General features: G+C 39.9%; 1 protein-coding gene and 1 pseudogene across 10 annotated transcripts in view; both read left to right on the top strand.

The window, feature by feature from the left end:
* The window catches only part of SLC9A7 (solute carrier family 9 member A7), a 159,868-nt gene that overhangs the window by 65,713 nt on the left and 74,335 nt on the right, over positions 1-19,820 (top strand). For all 10 annotated transcript variants that reach the window (XR_007068203.1, NM_032591.3, XM_017029905.2 and 7 more), the window contains exons 2-3: positions 10,871-11,070; positions 13,651-13,728. Coding sequence is in view for 9 of the 10 variants with exons in the window: in NM_032591.3 (NP_115980.1) it covers positions 10,871-11,070; positions 13,651-13,728 (278 nt within the window). In the remaining variant the exon portion in view is untranslated. The remainder of the gene's footprint in view (positions 1-10,870; positions 11,071-13,650; positions 13,729-19,820) is intronic.
* YBX1P8 (Y-box binding protein 1 pseudogene 8) lies at positions 7,908-8,618 on the top strand (annotated as a pseudogene).

Genomic DNA, 19,820 nt, shown 5'->3' with positions numbered 1-19,820 from the left:
GTTTTGCTCCATTGAGCTATGTGTCTATCCTTATACCACTACCACACTATCTTTGTAGTGAGTTTTGAAATGTGGAAGTGAAATTCACCCAGCTTTGTTATTTTTCAAGGTAATTTGCGATCTTCTGGTGGTTTTGCATTTCCATGTATGTTTTAGGCTCAGCTTGTCAATTTCTGCCAAAAAATTTGCTGGAATTTTGATAGGAATTGCATTAAGTCTGTAGAGCAATATGGGGAGCATTGTCATGTTAGCTATATTGAGTCTTCTAATTTATGAATATGGGATGTTTCTCCATTTATTTGGGTCATTTCATTTTTCTCAGCAGTGTTTTGTAATTTTCAGTGTATAAATCTTACATTTTGGTCATTCATTTTTCACAGAACGAGTATTTGTACAATTTGGATTTTTTCATACAACTGGCACTTAGAAAATTCTGGTGAGGTGGGAATCCAGAGCTTGGAGAAGTATGGCTTCTCAGTGGTCATAATAAAAGGGGCCTGAGACCAGTGGGCAGAAGCTACAGGGAGACAAACTTTGACTCTGTTTAGAGAGCCAGTGTTGTCCTGCTGCAAAAAGGATAGACCTGGAAGATGGTGAGCCCCCTCACTGTCTGTATTTAAACAAGAGCTGTATAATATCATGGTAAGAAGCTTAGAGACCATTCGTTCTCATTTCTGAGCATGCATTGAAATCAGATATGGAACTTCTTTAAATCAAAATACCTCAAACACCCCCTAAACCTACAGGATGAGAAGTTACAGGAGAGACTCTAGACACCTGTACTTTAATTGGTTCCCCAAGATGACTCTGAATACCACAGTATAAGACCTGTCTGCTGTTGAACAGAGTGTTTTATAAATGTGATGGATAATTGGACTTGTATTGTCCCTTCCAACATTGGCATTTTGTAGTGGCATGAGATCTGGATAAAATGAGTGTGGGGCAACTGTAGACATGCCTTAGGTATGTAGGAAACACAAGCAGAGGGATTTTCCTTGGACAAGCAGGCAGGACCTGTGGTTCTGTTTGTGGTGGGCTTCATATCTCATTCGGATGGTTCAGTGCCAATGCTGAATCTCAAGCAATTCTGAAAAAAATCTTCCTAATGGTGCCATGCAGGTCATCTGATTTTAAGTGACCTGAATGCATTAGAGAAATTGAGCAATAAAATCAGTGGCTTGTGTCTCACACTTCAGGTTTAGCCCATTATATGGCAGATACTTATTTCCCATTTTAATGGGAATTTTTAATAGTAAGGTTGCTAGCTCCATGAAACCTGTCTTCCTTGCAGTCTTTTAATTCTTATTAAAAGAAAACTGATAGAGTAAGGTTGCTTACTTTTTGGCCTGTTTACCAATCTACAGTGCCACAAAGATTGATGATGATACATTATATGATGATACTGTTTTATTACTATCATTATGTGTTTTGCTAAATCCCTGGGAGAGTCTTCTAAATAAATCAGCATTTATACAAGGACAATTATGCCTACCCTTGAAATTTTCCTCTGGTGAAAACCCTATATAACTGTAAAATTGCTGTAGAAGTGCTCATTTTACAGGCACCTGGGAAGCTGCTAGAGGGACAAATAAGGAAGTTATGGTGTCCTGTGCCTTTGCTGGACAGGACAACTTCAAAAACAGTGAGTTCTGTAGCTACTTTTCTAGAGATATTTTTTCTATTTTGCTCCAGCCCACATATCACTTGTCTTCCTAACCTCCATCCCCAATATGCACTATTTTTATAGCAAGAGATGATGCAAAGGAAAATAACTAATTCTAAAGGGCTCATAAAAAGCAGCATTTGTACAGCTTTTGACAGTTTATAAAGGGTTTTGACATATGCATGTTCTCACTACATTCTTACAACAGCCCAATTTTAGAAATGAGCAGCAGAGAGGTACTTTGTGCTGGATTGTAGCTAGGTGGAAAGTGAAGTTACCTACCCAGGTCTTCTGTCACTGAATCTACCAAATTCTTCTCCATTATGCTTCCTCATTACTACCAGACAAAATAAATATATCAGGAAAAGTTGGTAAATAGCAACAAATAATGCCTTAGAATTAATTTGCTACAATATACAAAAGCAAACATTTTCAGTAAATTTTTGCTTCTTATACATTTATAAAACATGGCAAGATAACAAGCATGTAGGAATTCTGTTATTCATGCTCATGGGAGGACTTCTGGAATGACTGTGTGAGAGCTCAATAAATCTTCTTCCCAAAACACAGCAATAAAATTGGACAAAGTTGTCAAAAATAACTATTTAGTCTCTGTAAATTGATGAAAGGTCAATTAAATTGAGGAACATTTATTAAAGAAAATCTACTGAATCTTGGTAAGAATAGTAGGTGTCTATGGCATTTAAGATTGCTCCCATCCCTGCCAGATCCATGTTCTGGATGATTTATCACAGGCAGGTGGAATAGACTGCAGTGACCACCAGCTCCCATTTCTCCCACCAGCTCCAGAAATAAACCATTGTGTTTATGGTCAGTTGATTTTCAGCAAAGGTACCAAGAGAATTCACTGGAGAAAAGACCGTATTTTTAACAAATGGTGCTGGAGCAATTAGATACCCGTATGCAAAAGGATGAATTTGGACCTTAACCTGACACCATACACACTAAGTTAACTCAGATTGTATCAGAGATCTAAATGTAAGCATCAAGGCTATAAAACACTTAAAAACATAAGAAATATTCATAACTTTGGGTTAGACAAGTGTTTTTTAGATATGATACCAGAGCCACAAGCAATAAAATAAAATGGATAAATTAGATTTAATCTATCAGAGTAAAAAAATTTTGCTCTGCCAAAGACAATGTCAAGAGGCTGGAAAGACAAGCTACAGTCTGGTAGAAAATATTTGCAAATCATATATCTGACAAAGGACTTGTATCTAGAATATATAAGGAACCCAAAATGTATAAGGGAACCCAGAATATATAAGGAACCCATAAGAAAACAACCCAGTTTTTAAAATGGGCAAATAACTTGAAGAAACATTTCTCTGAAGAGGGTATTAGGATTGCCAATAAGTACACAAAAAGATATTCAACATCATTAGCCATTAGGGAAATGCAAATTTAAAGTATGGTGAAATACCACTACACACCTATTACAATAGAATGGCTAAAATGAGAGATATTGGCAATACCAAATGTGGATGAGGATGTGGAGCAACTAGAACCCTCATATGATGCTGTAGGGGACAGTGGTTAAAAAATGGTATAGTTGGGCATTTGGGTTGGTTCCAAGTCTTTGCTATTGTAAATAGTGCTGCAGTAAACATACGTGTGCATGTGTCCTTATGGTAGAATGATTTATAATCCTTTGGGTATATACCCAGTAATGGGATTGCTGGGTCAAATGGTATTTCTTTGATAGAATGGATAAAGAAAATGTGGCACATATATACAATGGAATACTATGCAGCTATAAAAAAGAATGAGTTCATGTCCTTTGCAAGGACATGGATGAAGCTGGAAGCCATCATTCTCAGCAGACTAACACAGGAACAGAAAACCAAATACCGCATGTTCTCATTCGTAAGTGGGAGTTGAACAATGAGAACACATGGACAGAAGGAGGGGAACATCACACACCAGGGCCTGTCAGGGGGTAGGGGGAAAGGGGAGGGAGAGCATTAAGACAAATATCTAATGCATGCGGGGCTTAACACCTAGATGATGTGTTGATAGGTGCAGCAAGCCACCATGGCACATGTATACCTATGTAACAAACCTGCACGTTCTGCACATGTATCCCAGAACTTAAACAAAAAAAAAAAGAACTGAAAAAAAAAAAAGGCATAATTACTTTGAGAAATGGCTTGCAGTTTCTCATAAAGTTAAAGATATGCTGCACATATGACCGAGCAGTCCCACTCTGGGTATTTACCTTAGAGAAATGAAAACATGTTCATATAAAAACTTGTTCATGGGTGTTCATGGCAGCTTTATTTGTGCCAGCCAAAAGCTGGAAAGAAGCCAGATATCCCTCAGTAGGTGAGTGTTTATACAATGGAATACAACTTAGCAGTAAAATGAGATGAAGTGTTAATTCACACAATACTTGGATGAACCTCAAAGGTGTTACGCTGAGTGAGAGAAGCCAGTCTCAAAAGGTTACATACTGCATGGTTCCATGTATTTAACCTTGCAAAGACAAAACTGTATTAATGGAAAAAACAAAACAAAACAAAACAAAACAAAAAGCAGTGGTTGCTGGGGTTAATATGTAGGATGAAGGTATCAGTGTGAAGAGATAGTACAAGAGAGTTTTGGGGGAGTGGTAGAACTATTTGGTATCCTTGTTGCAGTGGTGCTTACATGAATCTATATGTGTGTTAAAATTCATAGAACTGTACACCAAAAGAAAAAATAATTCATTGTATAACAATAAAGCAAAAAAAAAATTTTAAGACAACATCAGAGAAATTTTAAAAAAGAAAGGAAAAATATAGGTCATAGATTTGGGGAAAATATTTTCAAATTGTATTTTCAATAAGGGACTTCTATCCAGAAAACAAAAAGTTTGGGTTTTTTTTTTACCATTCAATAAGAGAACCTGAGTTAAAATATGGCAAGAGATTTGAATGACGAGACATTTCACCAAAGAAGATATACAATGGCCTATAAGCACATAAAAAGATGCTCAGCATCTTTAGGCATTAGGGAAATGCACATTAAAACTACAATGAGATACCTCTGAACATTCTCTAAAACAGGTATGATCATAAGACAATAACAAGTGCTGCTGTGCCTGTAAACAAACTATAACTCTTTTTTTTTTTTTTTTTTTGAGGCGGAGTTTCGCTCTTGTTGCCCAGGCTAGAGTGCAATGGCACGATCTTGGCTCACCGTAACCTCCACCTCCCAGGTTCAAGCGATTCTCCTGCCTCAGCCTCCTGAGTAGCTAGGATTACAGGCATGTGCCACAACGTCCAGCTAATTTTGTATTTTTAGTAGAGATGGGGTTTCTCCATGTTGGTCAGGCTGGTCTCGAGCTCCTGATCTCAGGTGATCTGCCCGCCTCGGCCTCCCAAAGTGCTGGGATTACAGGTGTGAGCCACTGCGCCCGGCCAACAAACTGTAACTCTCATGTGTTGCTGGCGAGAATGTAAAACAATACATTTTTCCCAATGTAGTTTGGCAGTTTCTAAAATATTAAACATAGATTTATCATATGACACAGCAGTTCCACTCCTAGGTATCTACTCTAGGGAAATGAAAACATGTCCACAGACTTGTATGCAAATGTTCATAGCAGCGTTATTCACATTAACAAAAAAGGGAAACAACTCAAATATTTATTGATTAGTTAATGGACAAATAAAATATGATACACTGGTACAGTGGAATACTATTTGGCAATAAAAAGGAATGAAGTACTGATACATGCCTCCAACATAGATAAACCTTGAAAACATACTAAGTGAAAGAAGCCAGACACAAGAGGCTACATATTGTATGACACCATTTATATTAAAAGTCCAGAAACGGCAAATCTATAGTACAGAAGGTAGATTAGTAGTTGCCTGGGAATTGGAGTAGGAAGCAGGAAGTGACTGCAGATGGAAATGTTTCAAAATCAGATTGCAGTGATGATTGTGCAACTCTGTGAATATACTAAAAATCATTGAATAGTATACTCTAAAATGGGTGAATCTTATGGTATGTAAATTGTACCTTAATAAAATTGCTTTTTAGTTTCACCACATATTCAAAACAAGGAACAAAAATATTTTGAATGAATTCTCCTTGAAACTAATATATCAACGAATAACACAGCTGCATAAGTAGCAGAACAAGTAGAACAAGGTATTGAAAGGGCTGTAATATTCACTCTCAAAATCCAAGTCATGTAAATTACCCCCAAACCTGAAAAGTCATTGTCAACTGCTGGAATCCATTGGATTCTCTTTATTCATTGAATTAGAAATAGTTATCACCATCTTCAAACACTGTGTAACTGGATGCAAAATGAGATACTTTCTTTTCTTGGAATTTCAGATGAAGCTTTAAAACTCATAACAACCCCTACTGTGCTGTAAAAAACTCCACAGTGGTGGCCACACTGATCAGGTGATCACCTACCCTCAGTACCTTACATAAGAAAAAATGAGGTCTCACTAAAGAACAGTGCACCCACGTACCTGTTCTCCTCCGTAACAAAGGCTTATTAACATAGACATTTAAATATTGTAGCTGATGGATGGCTGTCTAGAATTAAACCTCACCATGTCCACTTGTTCAGCTCTCCTCCCAACAGCCTCAGCCACAAAAGGAAAACTGGCACCAGACCAATGGGAGCTGGTTTCTTTAATGAACCCGTGGGATTTTTAAACCACACGTTGCTCTCATGATTATATTCCTTCATCATACTACCAAGTTTTGGATAAGCACATACATAAACTATATATATGCAAGTACAGTTGTGAAGTGAGTTTTTTTCCTATCCACAAGTTGAAACAGTCTCGAATTTTTGCCCCTTTGGAGTTTACCATCTTGTTTTAAGCCACATCAAATGTCAAAGGAATTTCATCCATATTTGCTTTCTGTAAAAGTTCAAAACAATTCTTTCATTAGTAATGTACCTACGAAATCAGTGATTGTCTCTTTATCAGCTGACATTTTATGTGCTATTTTCCCTGGCCCAAACACACAGTAGGTTATTTCTCTTTGTGATCTAGAACACTAGGCTGTTAATCTGGTCAAATCATTAGTGCTTCTGTTGCTCTCCATCATTTTTTATGAATACTGAACTTTCTGAAGCTTTCAAAAAAAAATCTAGTGCATGTTTTAATTCCTTGTAGCTATGACCACTTCACAGTTCCCTGTCAGGATGTCTCCGAGATCCAGCAGATGAAAATATGCTGTTCATGTTTTCTCCAAGTCTTTATCATTTTCTCACCTAATTACCTTCCTGCAGTTCTAATATCCTATTCTTTCTTCAACTGGAAAACGCCAAATATGAACTTAATATCATGCCATGGAATATAGTGGTAATAAATATGAATCTAAAATGTCTGGGGAGGTACCCAAACTCTACCTTGAGTTAGTGGTGTACCCTGTGGCTTGGTATATTTTTGGTCAAAACTGTCAGGATGGTGTTAACCTTACATCTCTGCTGTGGTGTTTTGTGTTGCCATATTTTAACCACAAGGGGGCAGCATCACCACCTTCGCTGTCTCCCTTCCATCTTTAATATGAGCGCATTGGGCCCAGGGTAGAGAAGAAAAGGTTTTACAACTTTAAAAAGCAATATTCGTCATCTGGTGATGATTGTAAATATGATAGTGATGATTACTGGAAGAGAGTTGAAGAATGTTTCCTCTAATTGAGGAATTTGTCTACAAATATAAACCCTCTCTTGTTAGAGTAGTATTCATGAGGACCTTTGCTAGTATGCTTCAGTCTTTCCATTAGCTCTGCTAATAATGAGGTTAGAAAAGTCAAGAAACAATGAGTTACATGAAGCAGGTTCTGATTTTTAGGAGAAAGATAGTCTGTAAATGACTTGTTTTGGCTTCCTGATGACAATTTAAGTTAAATCATGTTCCAAATAGCTGCCTCCAGATGCTGCAGATCATCCTGTATTATGATGAGTGTTGAAGGGCTAGAGTCGTCTTTGCCATGTAAAACTTCGTCAGAAAATAACTGTCTAACCAGGGAGTGAAATAAGACTAAAAAGCATCACAGAGTTCCATCTAGAGTGGAGAGAGAGCCCCCCAGAGCCCTGAACAGCTCCACTGCCACCAATCTCATTACCATCACACCTGCAAAGGGGCCACTGCTGCCACAGCTGGCCCCAGTCACCATTACTGTGACCGCAAACATGAGCAGTGAGGCTGAGACACTTGGCATGACACCATGGGCAGAGGCAGAGGGAGTGGCAGCCTGCAAACAGGACAAGAAGGTTATCCCAGTGAAAGTTTGGGAACAGTAAGATGGTTCAGTGTAAGAAATATATATGGTTTCGTCCACAGGAATGACACTGGGTGAGATGTATTTGTATGCCAGATTGTCATAAAGAAGAATAACCCCCAGGAAACACCCTGGCAGTACAGGGGATGGAGAAGCTGTGGAGTTCGATGTTGAAGGAGAAAACGGTACACAGGCAGCAAAGATTGCAGGCCCTGGTGGAGTTCCAGTGCCAGGCAGTACAGATGCAGTAGACTGAAGCCATTATAGATGTTATCTGCATCATGGGGGTCTTCCACACGGTCACCAGCACAATTACCAGAACAATGAGAGTGGGGAAAAGAAGGATTGGAGAGTTCCCTTAAACGTCAGGCCTTACAGCACACAGAAGATGCCTCCTCCCTTGCAGAGACCCTATGATTCTTGACCAGAGTGTTCTAACCCTCCTGTGCAGAGACAAGTGATGGAGGGTGGTGACAACCAGGGTGAAGGAGAAGAGGTAGGTCAGTGAGACAGATTACGTATTGGGGTTACAGACCACGAATCTCCAGGGCCCCTCCTCACCTAGAACAGTAATGAACACCCAAGGCCAGCAGCCATGTCATTGTAGGCACCCCCCAACTTCAGTTACCAGCACAGACACCCAGAAAACCCTGAACCACAAGATGGCAAAGAGACTGACAGCTAGGAAGTCCGTTGCCAAGGCTGAGCAGAGCAGGACAGAGTAAATGCCAGCCAACCATTTCTAGTGTCATCTGGTTTGTCATCCTACAGGAATAAATGAATATAAATTCCAGCAATAAGACCTGAACAAAAGATTGGTTCTGAAGACCTTAAGTGACTGCTTTTGGCCCATTTACCAGACAGCTAGCACTATCTGAGTTATGGAGCTTTCATTACTTTTCCCTACAGACATCTCTTTTTGGTAATGATAAATATGTTTTTTTAAATATGTTTTTTAAAAGGTCTGGGGCCAGGCATGGTGGCTCACGCCTGTAATCCCAGCACTTTGGGAGGCCGAGGTGGGTGGATCACCAGAGGTCAATAGTTCGAGACCAGCCTAGCCAACATGGTGAAACCCCGTCTCTACTAAAAATACAAAAATTAGCTGGGTGTGATAGCGCATGCCTGTAGTCCCAGCTACTCGGGAGGCTGAGGCAGGAGAATTGCTTGAACCTGGGAGGCGGAGGTTGCAGCAAGCCGAGATTGCACCACTGCACTCCAGCCTGGGTGACAAAGTGAGACTCTGTCTCAAAAAACAAATAAAATAAAATAAAAGGTCTGGTTTTTCTTATATGCCTTTAAAGGTTTTCAAATTGTTTCGTATCTGGTCAGATTGAGATTATTAAGAAACTCATTTTTAAGTTGTAAAAAAAATCAAGTTGTTTTATTACAAGTCAACAAACTGCAAGTATCTGTTAATATGGGTCTATAATAATTATAATAACACAACACAGATGCAGATTTTGGCTCAAAGAACTATATTTTTCTAGATTTTATATTTTATTTGCTATTCAACAATGTCTTGTGAGTTCTTATATATCTTGGTGATAAGAGACATTATAGAACATTACACATGGAAGACAGTAAACATCGTTCTTTTTCTCAGCAACTTTCTCCATTAATGGCAAAATGAGATGAGGAAGCAAATATATCATTCTGTCTTTTAATATTGCCAGCAAAGAACTGAATTTAGAGAGAAGTCTGAAATTTTCCTTCTAGAGAATTATAGAAAGTGTCTGATAGTGATTTATGGCTGGTTTTTTGTTTTTGTTTTTTAATCTTTCACTCACTTTTACTTGGGCATGTCTGACTCGTGTTCAGGTCCAGGGAGCCACACTCCTTCCTTATTCACAGAATTGAATGCTTATACATGATCTTGCTGTTTTTATTTTTCCTAATGGGAGAGCCCTACTAAGAAGGGTATGAGACTTACATACTTGTAGCTGATGATCTTAGCCATCTCATAGCTACAGCCCCAAGAAGCCAGCTCTCCAGCCCCTGAATCCTGACTCCTCAAATGTACACTGCAGTGTTTCACTTCCCAAGGGGTGTAATTACCTTCTCCATGATACCAGTGTTTCAAATGACCTAAGCAAAAGAATTTCTTTTTTCTCCCCTTTCCTCTGATGTGTGGCAAAGCAAGTTACATTTATAGCAACTGGAAATTCCAGTGGGCTGGTCCTTGCTGGCACATGGCAACAGGACTGGCTTGAGGGATGCTGCTGAGTGAAATGAAAGAGCTCAGCAGTTCTGCTTTGTGCTGTCCTGGCCAGAAAAATCTTTGCTGCTTGTCATCCCATCTTCCTCCACTAGAAGCCTGAGAAATGAGACATGCTCAGGTGTTAAAAGTGGTCACAGGGCTGGCTGGATGTGGTGGCTCACACCTGTAATCCCAGCACTTTGGGAAGCTGAAGCCAGCAGATCACTTGAGGTCAGGAGTTCGAGACCAGCCTGGCCAACATAGTGAAACCTTGTCTCTACTAAAAATACAAAAAAAAAAAAAAAAAAAAAATTAGCCGGGTGTAGTGGTGGGTGCCTGTAGTCCCAGCTACTTGGGAGGCTGAGGCAGGAGAATTGCTTGAACCTGGGAAGCGGAGGTTGCAGTGAGCCCAGATCACGCCACTGCACTCCAGCCTGGGTGAGAGAGCGAGACTCCACTCAAAAAACAAAAAAGTGCTCACAGTGTCATAATACCACTGAAGGTACTGTCCCACCTTGTCCTCCTGGTGGCCGAGCAACTTAAATCGGACCAGAATAGATGGATGCTTAACCCTTTCAATCCTGAAGGCCCATGCAGTTTCTCCTAAAATACATACCCCATGCCCAGTTTCTAAGATTACTGCTGCATTTCTTAGTTGTTGAAAGTCAACTATGCCATTATTTCCACACTTTCTCTATCCTTCCTCAGGCCTGATGAGTTTTTTTCCACTCTTTCAGGGCTCATCGTTGGGGTGATCCTGAGGTATGGTACCCCTGCTACCAGTGGCCGTGACAAATCACTCAGCTGCACTCAGGAAGACAGGGCCTTCAGTACCTTATTAGTGAATGTCAGCGGAAAGTTCTTCGAATACACTCTGAAAGGAGAAATCAGTCCTGGCAAGATCAACAGCGTAGAGCAGAATGATATGCTACGGAAGGTGAGCTGGGGACACTCAGCCATCCTTGTCCTGACATGGTTGTTGATTCCCTGACTTGTCTTGACCTTGTGGAGAGAAATCCTTCCAAACTCCTGGATTATCCGTAACATTCCTGGCTCTCTGTTTTGTTACAAAGCTTTTTGGTCCATGATGAGGAGAAGGAAGAACCAGATCTTCAACTTGAGCCTTTCAGCTGGTGACCTTTGTGGGTCTGTTAGCATCTGTAGCTGAAATGGGCCACTGATTGTGCAATGGATTTGTACGTCCCCACTCAGCTCATTTATCCAGCCACCATCTCCTCTTTGCTATGTCTCTTATCCTTCCTGTGGTTTAGGGATGATATTGCTACTTTCTTAAAATAAGATTGATTTCACTTTTAGCTTAATTTATTCAGTATTCAGAAGGGTAATTCTTAGTTCTTCGTGGTTCTTTTGCTATATCCTACAAATATTTGAGTGCTTACTCTTATCAGTGATTGATGCCAGAGGCTTAATGAATCTTCAGGGGAAGAAGAAGATCTTGTTGTCTTAGAATTTGAGTCCAAGCATTTTCATTTAATGTTGGGGTAGCAACATAGTCCACATGAAAAAGCATTATACATCTTGCATGGGTAATTTCCAGGATAAGCAAGAGATCTGTATTAATTGATGTATACTCCATTACCTTATAGACCAGGGTTTATCAGAAGGAAGCCTTCTGTATAGCGGTCTTGGGAGATCCAGGTTGTGGGGAGCCCATTTTAATACAGCACAAGGCTAAGGTATGTGAAGGCTGACAGTGAAAGGCAGAGTGTAGCCTGTGCTCCAGAAATTAAATTATTGTTGTTTTTGGAATCTACCCTAATCCTTAAGGAAAATTATTCTCTACCTGGAGCATTAAACATGACCATCTTTTCTGTGTCCCTAATGGCAGCACTCTTTGCTCTCAACTCTTCATAAGAAAGCATGGGGTTTTCATAAACATTCTGAAATTCAGCGCAACTGAGAATGAAATCCAATGTAAATACCACACTTAATGGCTGTTTGGAAATGGCAGCTTGAGCCCTTCATATTGGATAAGATGGGGGAAAAGGGAAATGATACCAACACATTTCCATCTTTCAGGTCATAATAGAAGATGAAGCTGACTTTTGCTCTCTTATCTTTAGAAACCTGTTTATTTAAATCCCCTCTGTTTAAAATTTTGCTGCACAAAGCAAAGGTGGGAGAACAAACAAGGCCAGGATGATTGTTGCTAGTTGAGGGAAAAGAGACATGTTGACATAGCTTGGTTGATAAGAAGAGCATTGGACTGAGTGTCAGAAAACCCTTGTGCTAGTTTGTACATTATTGGGTTTGGTGGCATCCAGCAATTTTCACTGCCTTTGGGCCCAGTGTCCTCATATTGGGTAGGTACTGTCCAAGGCTCCTTCTCATTCTGACATTCCCTGCTTTGCAGAACACTCTTATCTTTAACAAGAAGAGAGAATAAAGCATCATTTGAAAGAACCTACTTTTATTAGGCTGATTAACACCTCCAGTTTCTAAACAAATAAGTTAACATTTAATAACTAGAATGAAGGTTTAAAAATAATTGAAACACAAGCCAAATAATCTACCAGCGTGAACAAATTCTTTAAAAAGATTAGCATGTTTATAGCATGCTTAATTTTTTTCTGGATATGATAAAACTTTGTTCTCTAAAAGTTTCAGAGTAATTTGATTAATTTCCCTGTATCAAACCTACAAGAAATTTCAGTTCCTTTAAAGTTGCCCAATTTATGCTGATGTTCAGGAGCCACTAACATCACTGGTGACTTTGATTTAGGCTACATCAAGTGTCACAGAAGGCTGGTCACTCAAAAGAGACTTAAATTCAGCACAATTTTGTCTATAAAGGATTCTGTGAGGGGATCCAGGAAGTTAATAAAGAATCACGACGGCATCTTTTACTGCAGTTGAGTCTTTATAAACGTGTGATGAAAATCAAGATTTTTTTTTTTTTTTTTGAGATGGAGTCTCGCTCTGTTGCTCAGGCTGGAGTGCAGTGGTGCGATCTCAGCTCACTGCAACCTCCGCCTCCTGGGTTCAAGCGATTCTCCTGCCTCAGCCTCCCAAGTAGCTGGGATTACAGGCATCTGTCACCACACCTGGCTAATTTTTGTATTTTTAGTAGAGATGGGGTTTCACCATATTGGCCAGGCTGGTCTCGAACTCCTGACCTTGTGATCCACCCGCCTCGGCCTCCCAAAGTGCTAGGATTACAGGCATGAGCCACCGTGCCTGGCCAAGATGTTTTTATGAAAAACACTGGCCAGAAGCTTTCTGTGAGTTCTCAAAATTGCATGAAACTGTTGTGTCTTATTATGTTTTAAAACAGCACAAGCAAGATCATAAGAGCAAAAGTGTTATGGGGAGAAGAGCATGCCAGTCCATGGGGAGTCATAGCTTCTCCTCTGGGATAAGTCCATGATTTTTCACATTTATGTTGTTTGCTCTAAATATTCAAACTTTAGTCAATGGCTTCAAATATTAAGCAGATATTATAGCATGAATTGGAGTTAAATAAAAAATTGGCTTTTTTTTCTTTTTAAACTTTCAGGTAACATTCGATCCAGAAGTATTTTTCAACATTCTTCTGCCTCCAATTATTTTTCATGCTGGATACAGCTTAAAGAAGGTAAGATGTTTTTGCCAGTATTTCTGAAATCATGTGAATCTCTGTGTTAATTTACCTGCATAATTTTCTAGTTATTTTTCTTCTCCCAGATTGCTTATTACTTTGTTCTGCACCCACTCAGAGACTATAGTTGACTTCTCATCAATGATTCATTTCTGTTTTAAAATCTGGAACTCCCATACATTGCCAGTGGGAAGGTAAAATGGTACAGCCACTCTGGAAAACAAGTTGGCAGTTTCTAATAAAACTAAAGTTGAAATTGCCATATGACCCACAGTTTCACTCCTAAGGATTTATCCCAGAGGAGTGAAAACTTATGTTCACGTAAAAACCTACACATGATCGTTCATACCAAGTTGTAATAGACAAACACTGGAAACAACCAAAATGTTCTGTAATAGGTGAATGGTTAAACAAACTATGGTATATCCATGTTGTAGAGTATTACTCAACAATAAAACAGAACAACCTATTGATACACCCAACAACCTTTATGAATCTCAAAGGCATTATGCCGAGTGAAAAAAATCCAATCTCAAAAGGTTGTATACTCTGTGATTTCATTTATATAACATTGTAGAAATGACAAAATTATAAAATGGGAAACAAATTAGTGGTTGCCAGTGAATAGGGATGGTGGGGGCATTGGGGTGGGGGTGCTTATAAAGGGGTAGCATGAGGGACATCTTCAGGGTGATGGAACAGTTGTGTATTTTGATTGTGGTGGTAGTTATGCAAATCTACACATTTGATTAAATGATAGGGAACTATGCACACACATAATACATATAATGCTAGTTTCTTGGTTTTGATATTGTACCATAGTTATGTAAGATGTAACCATTGGGGGAAACTGGGTGAAGGCTACATGAGACCTCTCTGTACTTAATCTTTGCAACTTATGTGAATCTATAATTATTCCAAAATAAAAAGTTTTAAAGAACCTAAGTATCCTTATTACTGAGGGTCATCGTGCTAGACAGCAAGGTTGGGCCAGAGCTTCTAGTTATTTAAAATACTAAATACCAGCCTGGGCAACATAGCAAGACCCTGCCTCTACAAAAAGCAAAAAAATTAGCTGGGCATGGTGGTACATGCCTGTGGTCCTAGTTACTCTTGGAGGAGTCTGAGGTGGGGAGCTTGAGCCTAGGAGTTTGAGGCCGCAGTGAGCCTTGATTGTGTCTCTGTACTCCAGTCTGGGCCACAGAGCAAGACCCGGTCTCTAAAAATAAATAAATAAATAAATAAATAAATAAATAAATAAAAACAAATGCCAGATATCTTTACAAATATTTATGGATGGCTCCCTCCCTCTCCCATTGTGGTAATATTGTCTGAAAATTAAGCCTCCTCAAAGGCAGGTAACAGCTGTGGAACTTGTTTCAGCTCTCTTTCTGAATGAGGACTAAAGGAAACCCTTTCAGTGAGTCTAGAGAAGAGAGATTTTGCCTGACAATAAAACTCAACAACATCCTTAGGATCTAGAGAATGCCTCTGAAACTGATAAACTCTAGCTAGGTCAGTTGAGAAAAAGGGAGGAAAGAAACAAATTACCTGTATTAGGAATAAAAGAAGGGACTTTACTACAGACCCTTCAGATATTAAAAGGATAATAAGGGAATACTATGAACAATTTTTGTGCCAATAAGTTTGACAACATCATGATGAGATCTTGCCGTGAAAAACAACTCAAAAAAAGAAAAATAAATCTGGCAACCCAGGTGAAATGGACAAATTCCTTGAAAGACATAAATTATCAAAACTGACCTGAGATGGAAAGCTTGAACAGACCTATATTAAAGAAATTGAGTTTATAATGAAAAACCTTTCCACACACCCATATGGCTTTACTGGTGAATTATATCAAGCATTTATGGAAGAAATAATACCAATCTTATACAAATTCTTTCAGAAAATAGAAGAGGGAACACATCCCAATTCATTTTATGAGAGGATGCCGGCCCATCAGGCTGGGTTTTCTATCAAAGCCACTCTGCACTTTTCAGATGATTTTTAAACAATTTCCAGCCAACATAAATATAGTTTACAGAGCATTTGCTGTGTATTAGGAACGGATATTCTTTATTTCTGTTTTTACATCCATTCTTTCTAATCTTCACAGAAACTCTGTAAGAAGGTGATGGTGATTGAAGATTAGTTCACACTGCTTCTCCTCCAGGTTTCCAACTCATCGATAAACAGATACAAGGAGTTAACTTGTGATTAAATGATTGATTTATGATCCTAAGTCCCTGGTAAATGCATGTTGGAGTATGTCACTTAGCCTTTAGTAATGGGGCTGCTTACAACCTACCTCATGAATTGAGGACAGGTACCCTTTAGCCACCAGGTCAGTCACAGTTACACCTAAGGAGGCTGAAATGGAGAGATCCTAGAAATTGTTGGGCCTGCGCAAAGCTGCCTCTTTCGCTCATAGCATGGAGGCTAGAGGAGCAAGAACAATTCCCCACCTTGCACAACAGGGTCAAGACTACAAGTCAGGGTCAAACTCACTTCCTCTTTCAGAGATCAAGTGACCCCTCCTTACTGCATAACCTTCAGGGCAGGAGGGGAAGGGGGAGAGGAATGGAACATAAGTTCTGTCTGCATAATAGGTGCTTGAGGAACGGAGGCTGTGTGTTTCTGCACGCCAGCCCAGTGCATTTGTGTACTCACATGTAGAGTGTCCTGTGTTTTACTGATGATGAATCTCAGCTCAGAATGATTAATGATGCATATGAGGTTACGTAGATAACGCGGGACTGAGTCAAGGTGATACCCTCTCTGTCTGACTCCAGGGCCCAGAGTTGTTCTTTTGTGCCTTATTGCCTCTGGATTTAGGTTTTCTGTACAAAAAAGACTATATTGTTTTCCTGACTACTCTGGGGTTGCCAGGGTCATCCGAATTTGTATGTCATCTATTGACATGTAGTAGATAGGAGATGGTTATTATGGGTATAAATAACGTTATTTTTTACGTAAGTGGAGAATTTGGGAACTCTTCTTCAGATCAAATGGGTGATGAGTAATTTGATATTTTACATAACTAATCTTAATGTATAATCAGTTATAGTTGTTTTAAAATGAAACCAAATCATGGGTTGTGAAAGCCACTATGATGGTTGAAAGACATTTTAGTTTTTGCAGAACCTTCCCTTTATCAGCACCATTTTCTCAAAAGAAAAACACCTCACAGGCTTTGCCAGTTCCCAATCAATTTGTTTTTGAGATGCTAGCCTGAGTGGGAAAAAACTCACAAATTGGTTTTTCTCTGCTCTCACACTACAGTAACAACACAGAAGACTTCTGTGATTAAATGTGGGAGGGATTTCTCCCCACCAGCAAACAAGCAATGAATTCTGCAGCGGACACCAGCTGAGTGTCCTCCAGATCAGTTCTGACACTATCTACCTGGAGATAATGCCAGATCCCACGGAAGGCTCAGTCCCGCAATACTGCCCCCCCGCCCCACCTCAGACACCTGTCACAAGTCTGGGACTTCTGACTGCCTGGCTTCAAGTTGGGGTTCCCACGACCCCCTCTTTGAGTTTCATTACATTGCTATAGTGGCTCACAGAACTCAGGGAAACACTCATATTTACCAGTTTATTATAAAAGATATTACAAAGGATACAGATGAAGAGATGCATAAGGCAAGGTGTGGAGAAAGGGGCACGGAACTTCCATGCCCTCCCGGGACACCACCGTCCAGGAACCTCCATGTATTCAGCTGTTTGGAAGCTCTCGGAACCCCATCCTTTTGAACCTTTTACAGAGGTTTCATTGCATAGGCGTGATTGACAACCATGTAGAAAAGTGATTGGACAAAAGGGATGTGATGTAATGCTGATAGACTGAGTGGGGAAACCCAGCAAGGCCTGTGTGTTCAGATTCTTCTTGGCCTCTCTGTGTGGCATTCCTTCCTCCCCAGTGTGGGGCAGGATCCCTTCTGAAATGAGGGTCTTATGACCTACTTCAAAAAGGCAGGAGAAAATTAGAGTATATTTTTAGTTTCTATGCCCTGCCTTGGGACAAAAAAGGAGCAGATGAAAGGAGGGCAAGAGAAGGTCAGAGGGATTCTATTTTTTTGCTACCTGCTTCTGAGGCCTAAAGTGCCCAGCATTACAACAAAAGACTGTAACAAGAGCTATGGGAGTTTATGAGCCAGGAATTGTAGATGAAAATCAGTACATACACATCATAATATCACAGCTAGTCTTTCAGGTTATGAACTATTAGTTTAGTCTCTTTCCTTTTTAAATTGTCCCTATAAAAGCACCTAAATAGTTGGTCCTTAATATGGTTGCCATCTCTGATGAAACCTGTTGTCAGTGAAATGTGTAATAAATACTTCACCATTTAACGGATGGTATAACATTCAGACCCTCTGGCCTATTCACATCATATAGCTATCATGCAGACCTGGGCTTTCTGACTTGAAAAAGTTCTCATTGGATTTAGCTTTGATTTTGTGCTACCACTCATGGTTTGCTTAGAGGGCCTTGGCAGGGAAATAATTCACCCATAGAAGCCGTTATTGGTGGACTCCCCCACCAAACACACACACACACACACACACACACACACACACACACACACACACACACACACACACATTCACTCTCTCTCTCTTTCTCTCTCTCTCTCCCTCACTCACACACACATATACAATAACATGTTAAAACTTGCCAGTGAGGAATGGGAGGGGATAGGATTTCCCAAGGAGTAGCAGTGTGAGGCTTAGAATGGTACAGCTAGGAATTGGGATATCAGGTAGATTTTCACCAAAGCAAAACTTCTCATCCTGGCCTGTCTTGGGCTTATATTTTTGAAGACTTTGCCAGGGCATGCCATCATCTCCTTTTGTCTCTTCTTGTCATTTTATAATTGAGGAGGAAAAGTAAGGGAGATTCTGAACTAGTCATGGCTGTATTGTAACCAAATAAGGGTGGGATGAAAGATCTAGGATTTTACCGGACACCTCCTGTCCTTTCTTTCCCAAAGAGAAGTGGGAATCGAAGAGCTGGGTAGCAGGGCAGCTTGCGCAGTGAGAGCATGATGCTTTGGGGTCAGGAGACCAGCTTTCCAGTCTGTGGCTTGGTTTGGCGGACGTGTGACTTGAAACAGCTTACATCATGCCTTTGAGCCTTGGGTTCTCTCGTATATGATGGTCCAAATAACACCTTCCAGATAGATCATTGTGAGAATTGGATGGGCTAATATATGTGAAAACACTTTGTGAACTATGAAGTATACGTTTAAGTACTAGACATAATACACAAATAGGTAGTATAGCTTTTCAAAATACAGTTAAGTTTCAGCTCACATCAGCAGATATGAACGGGAGATGGGTAATAGTGTGTGTGTGATTTTAGAATATATTATGAAAGTATTTTTGGCTGCAGATTTACATTCCTAATTTTTTTGCTTTGGCTAATGTCATGAATATGTATTTATCTAATTTATATTCAGAGTTACCATGGGAATATCTACCCAAAGGAAAGCTGAGTGGCAAGGAAAAGCACATCTGGGATTGAAATTTGTTCTTGGATACCTCACAAGTTCATTCATCTCATGCCTTGTTCTTGGTACACTCCTAGCCCTCCCTGATTGAAGCCCTTTATGGAGATTTTAAAGGGAAGCAGACTCACAGCTGTTGATTTTTTGGAAATATATATTTTCTCAAAACATTGGTGTATAAATGCATTCGATTAAAAACAAAAAGGCGGTTATTTAAGAGGCAAACATAATGTGTCCATCTTATGTACAGGCAGCACCCTCATTCGGTGCCTGTCAGCATGGCAAGCCCTTGAAGGATTCTCTCCTGAGCAGGTGGCTTAGGGGCAGCAGGCATTCCTTAACACCTTCTTCACTGACTCAGATAGGGGCAAGCACTGGGAAGGCCCTGTGTCTGGGATGCAGACCAGAGGACGCCTGCAGCCCTTTGTCTGGTCATGCTTCATGGTAGCTGCCTGATCTAGGCTGGGTTCTTCTTCCTGCACCCTGTTTTTTTCTGATGTTGCTCAGCTGACATGCTGGGGCTCTCCTGCCTTTTAAAAAAATTTTAGGTAAAGTATTCCTGGCCCTTGTTT

The sequence above is a fragment of the Homo sapiens genome, chromosome X (assembly GCF_000001405.40).
Source record: "Homo sapiens chromosome X, GRCh38.p14 Primary Assembly".
NCBI classification, from domain to species: Eukaryota; Metazoa; Chordata; class Mammalia; order Primates; family Hominidae; genus Homo; species Homo sapiens.
The sequence above is the reverse complement of the archived record's forward strand: the minus strand, read 5'-3'. Positions and strand labels throughout refer to the sequence as shown.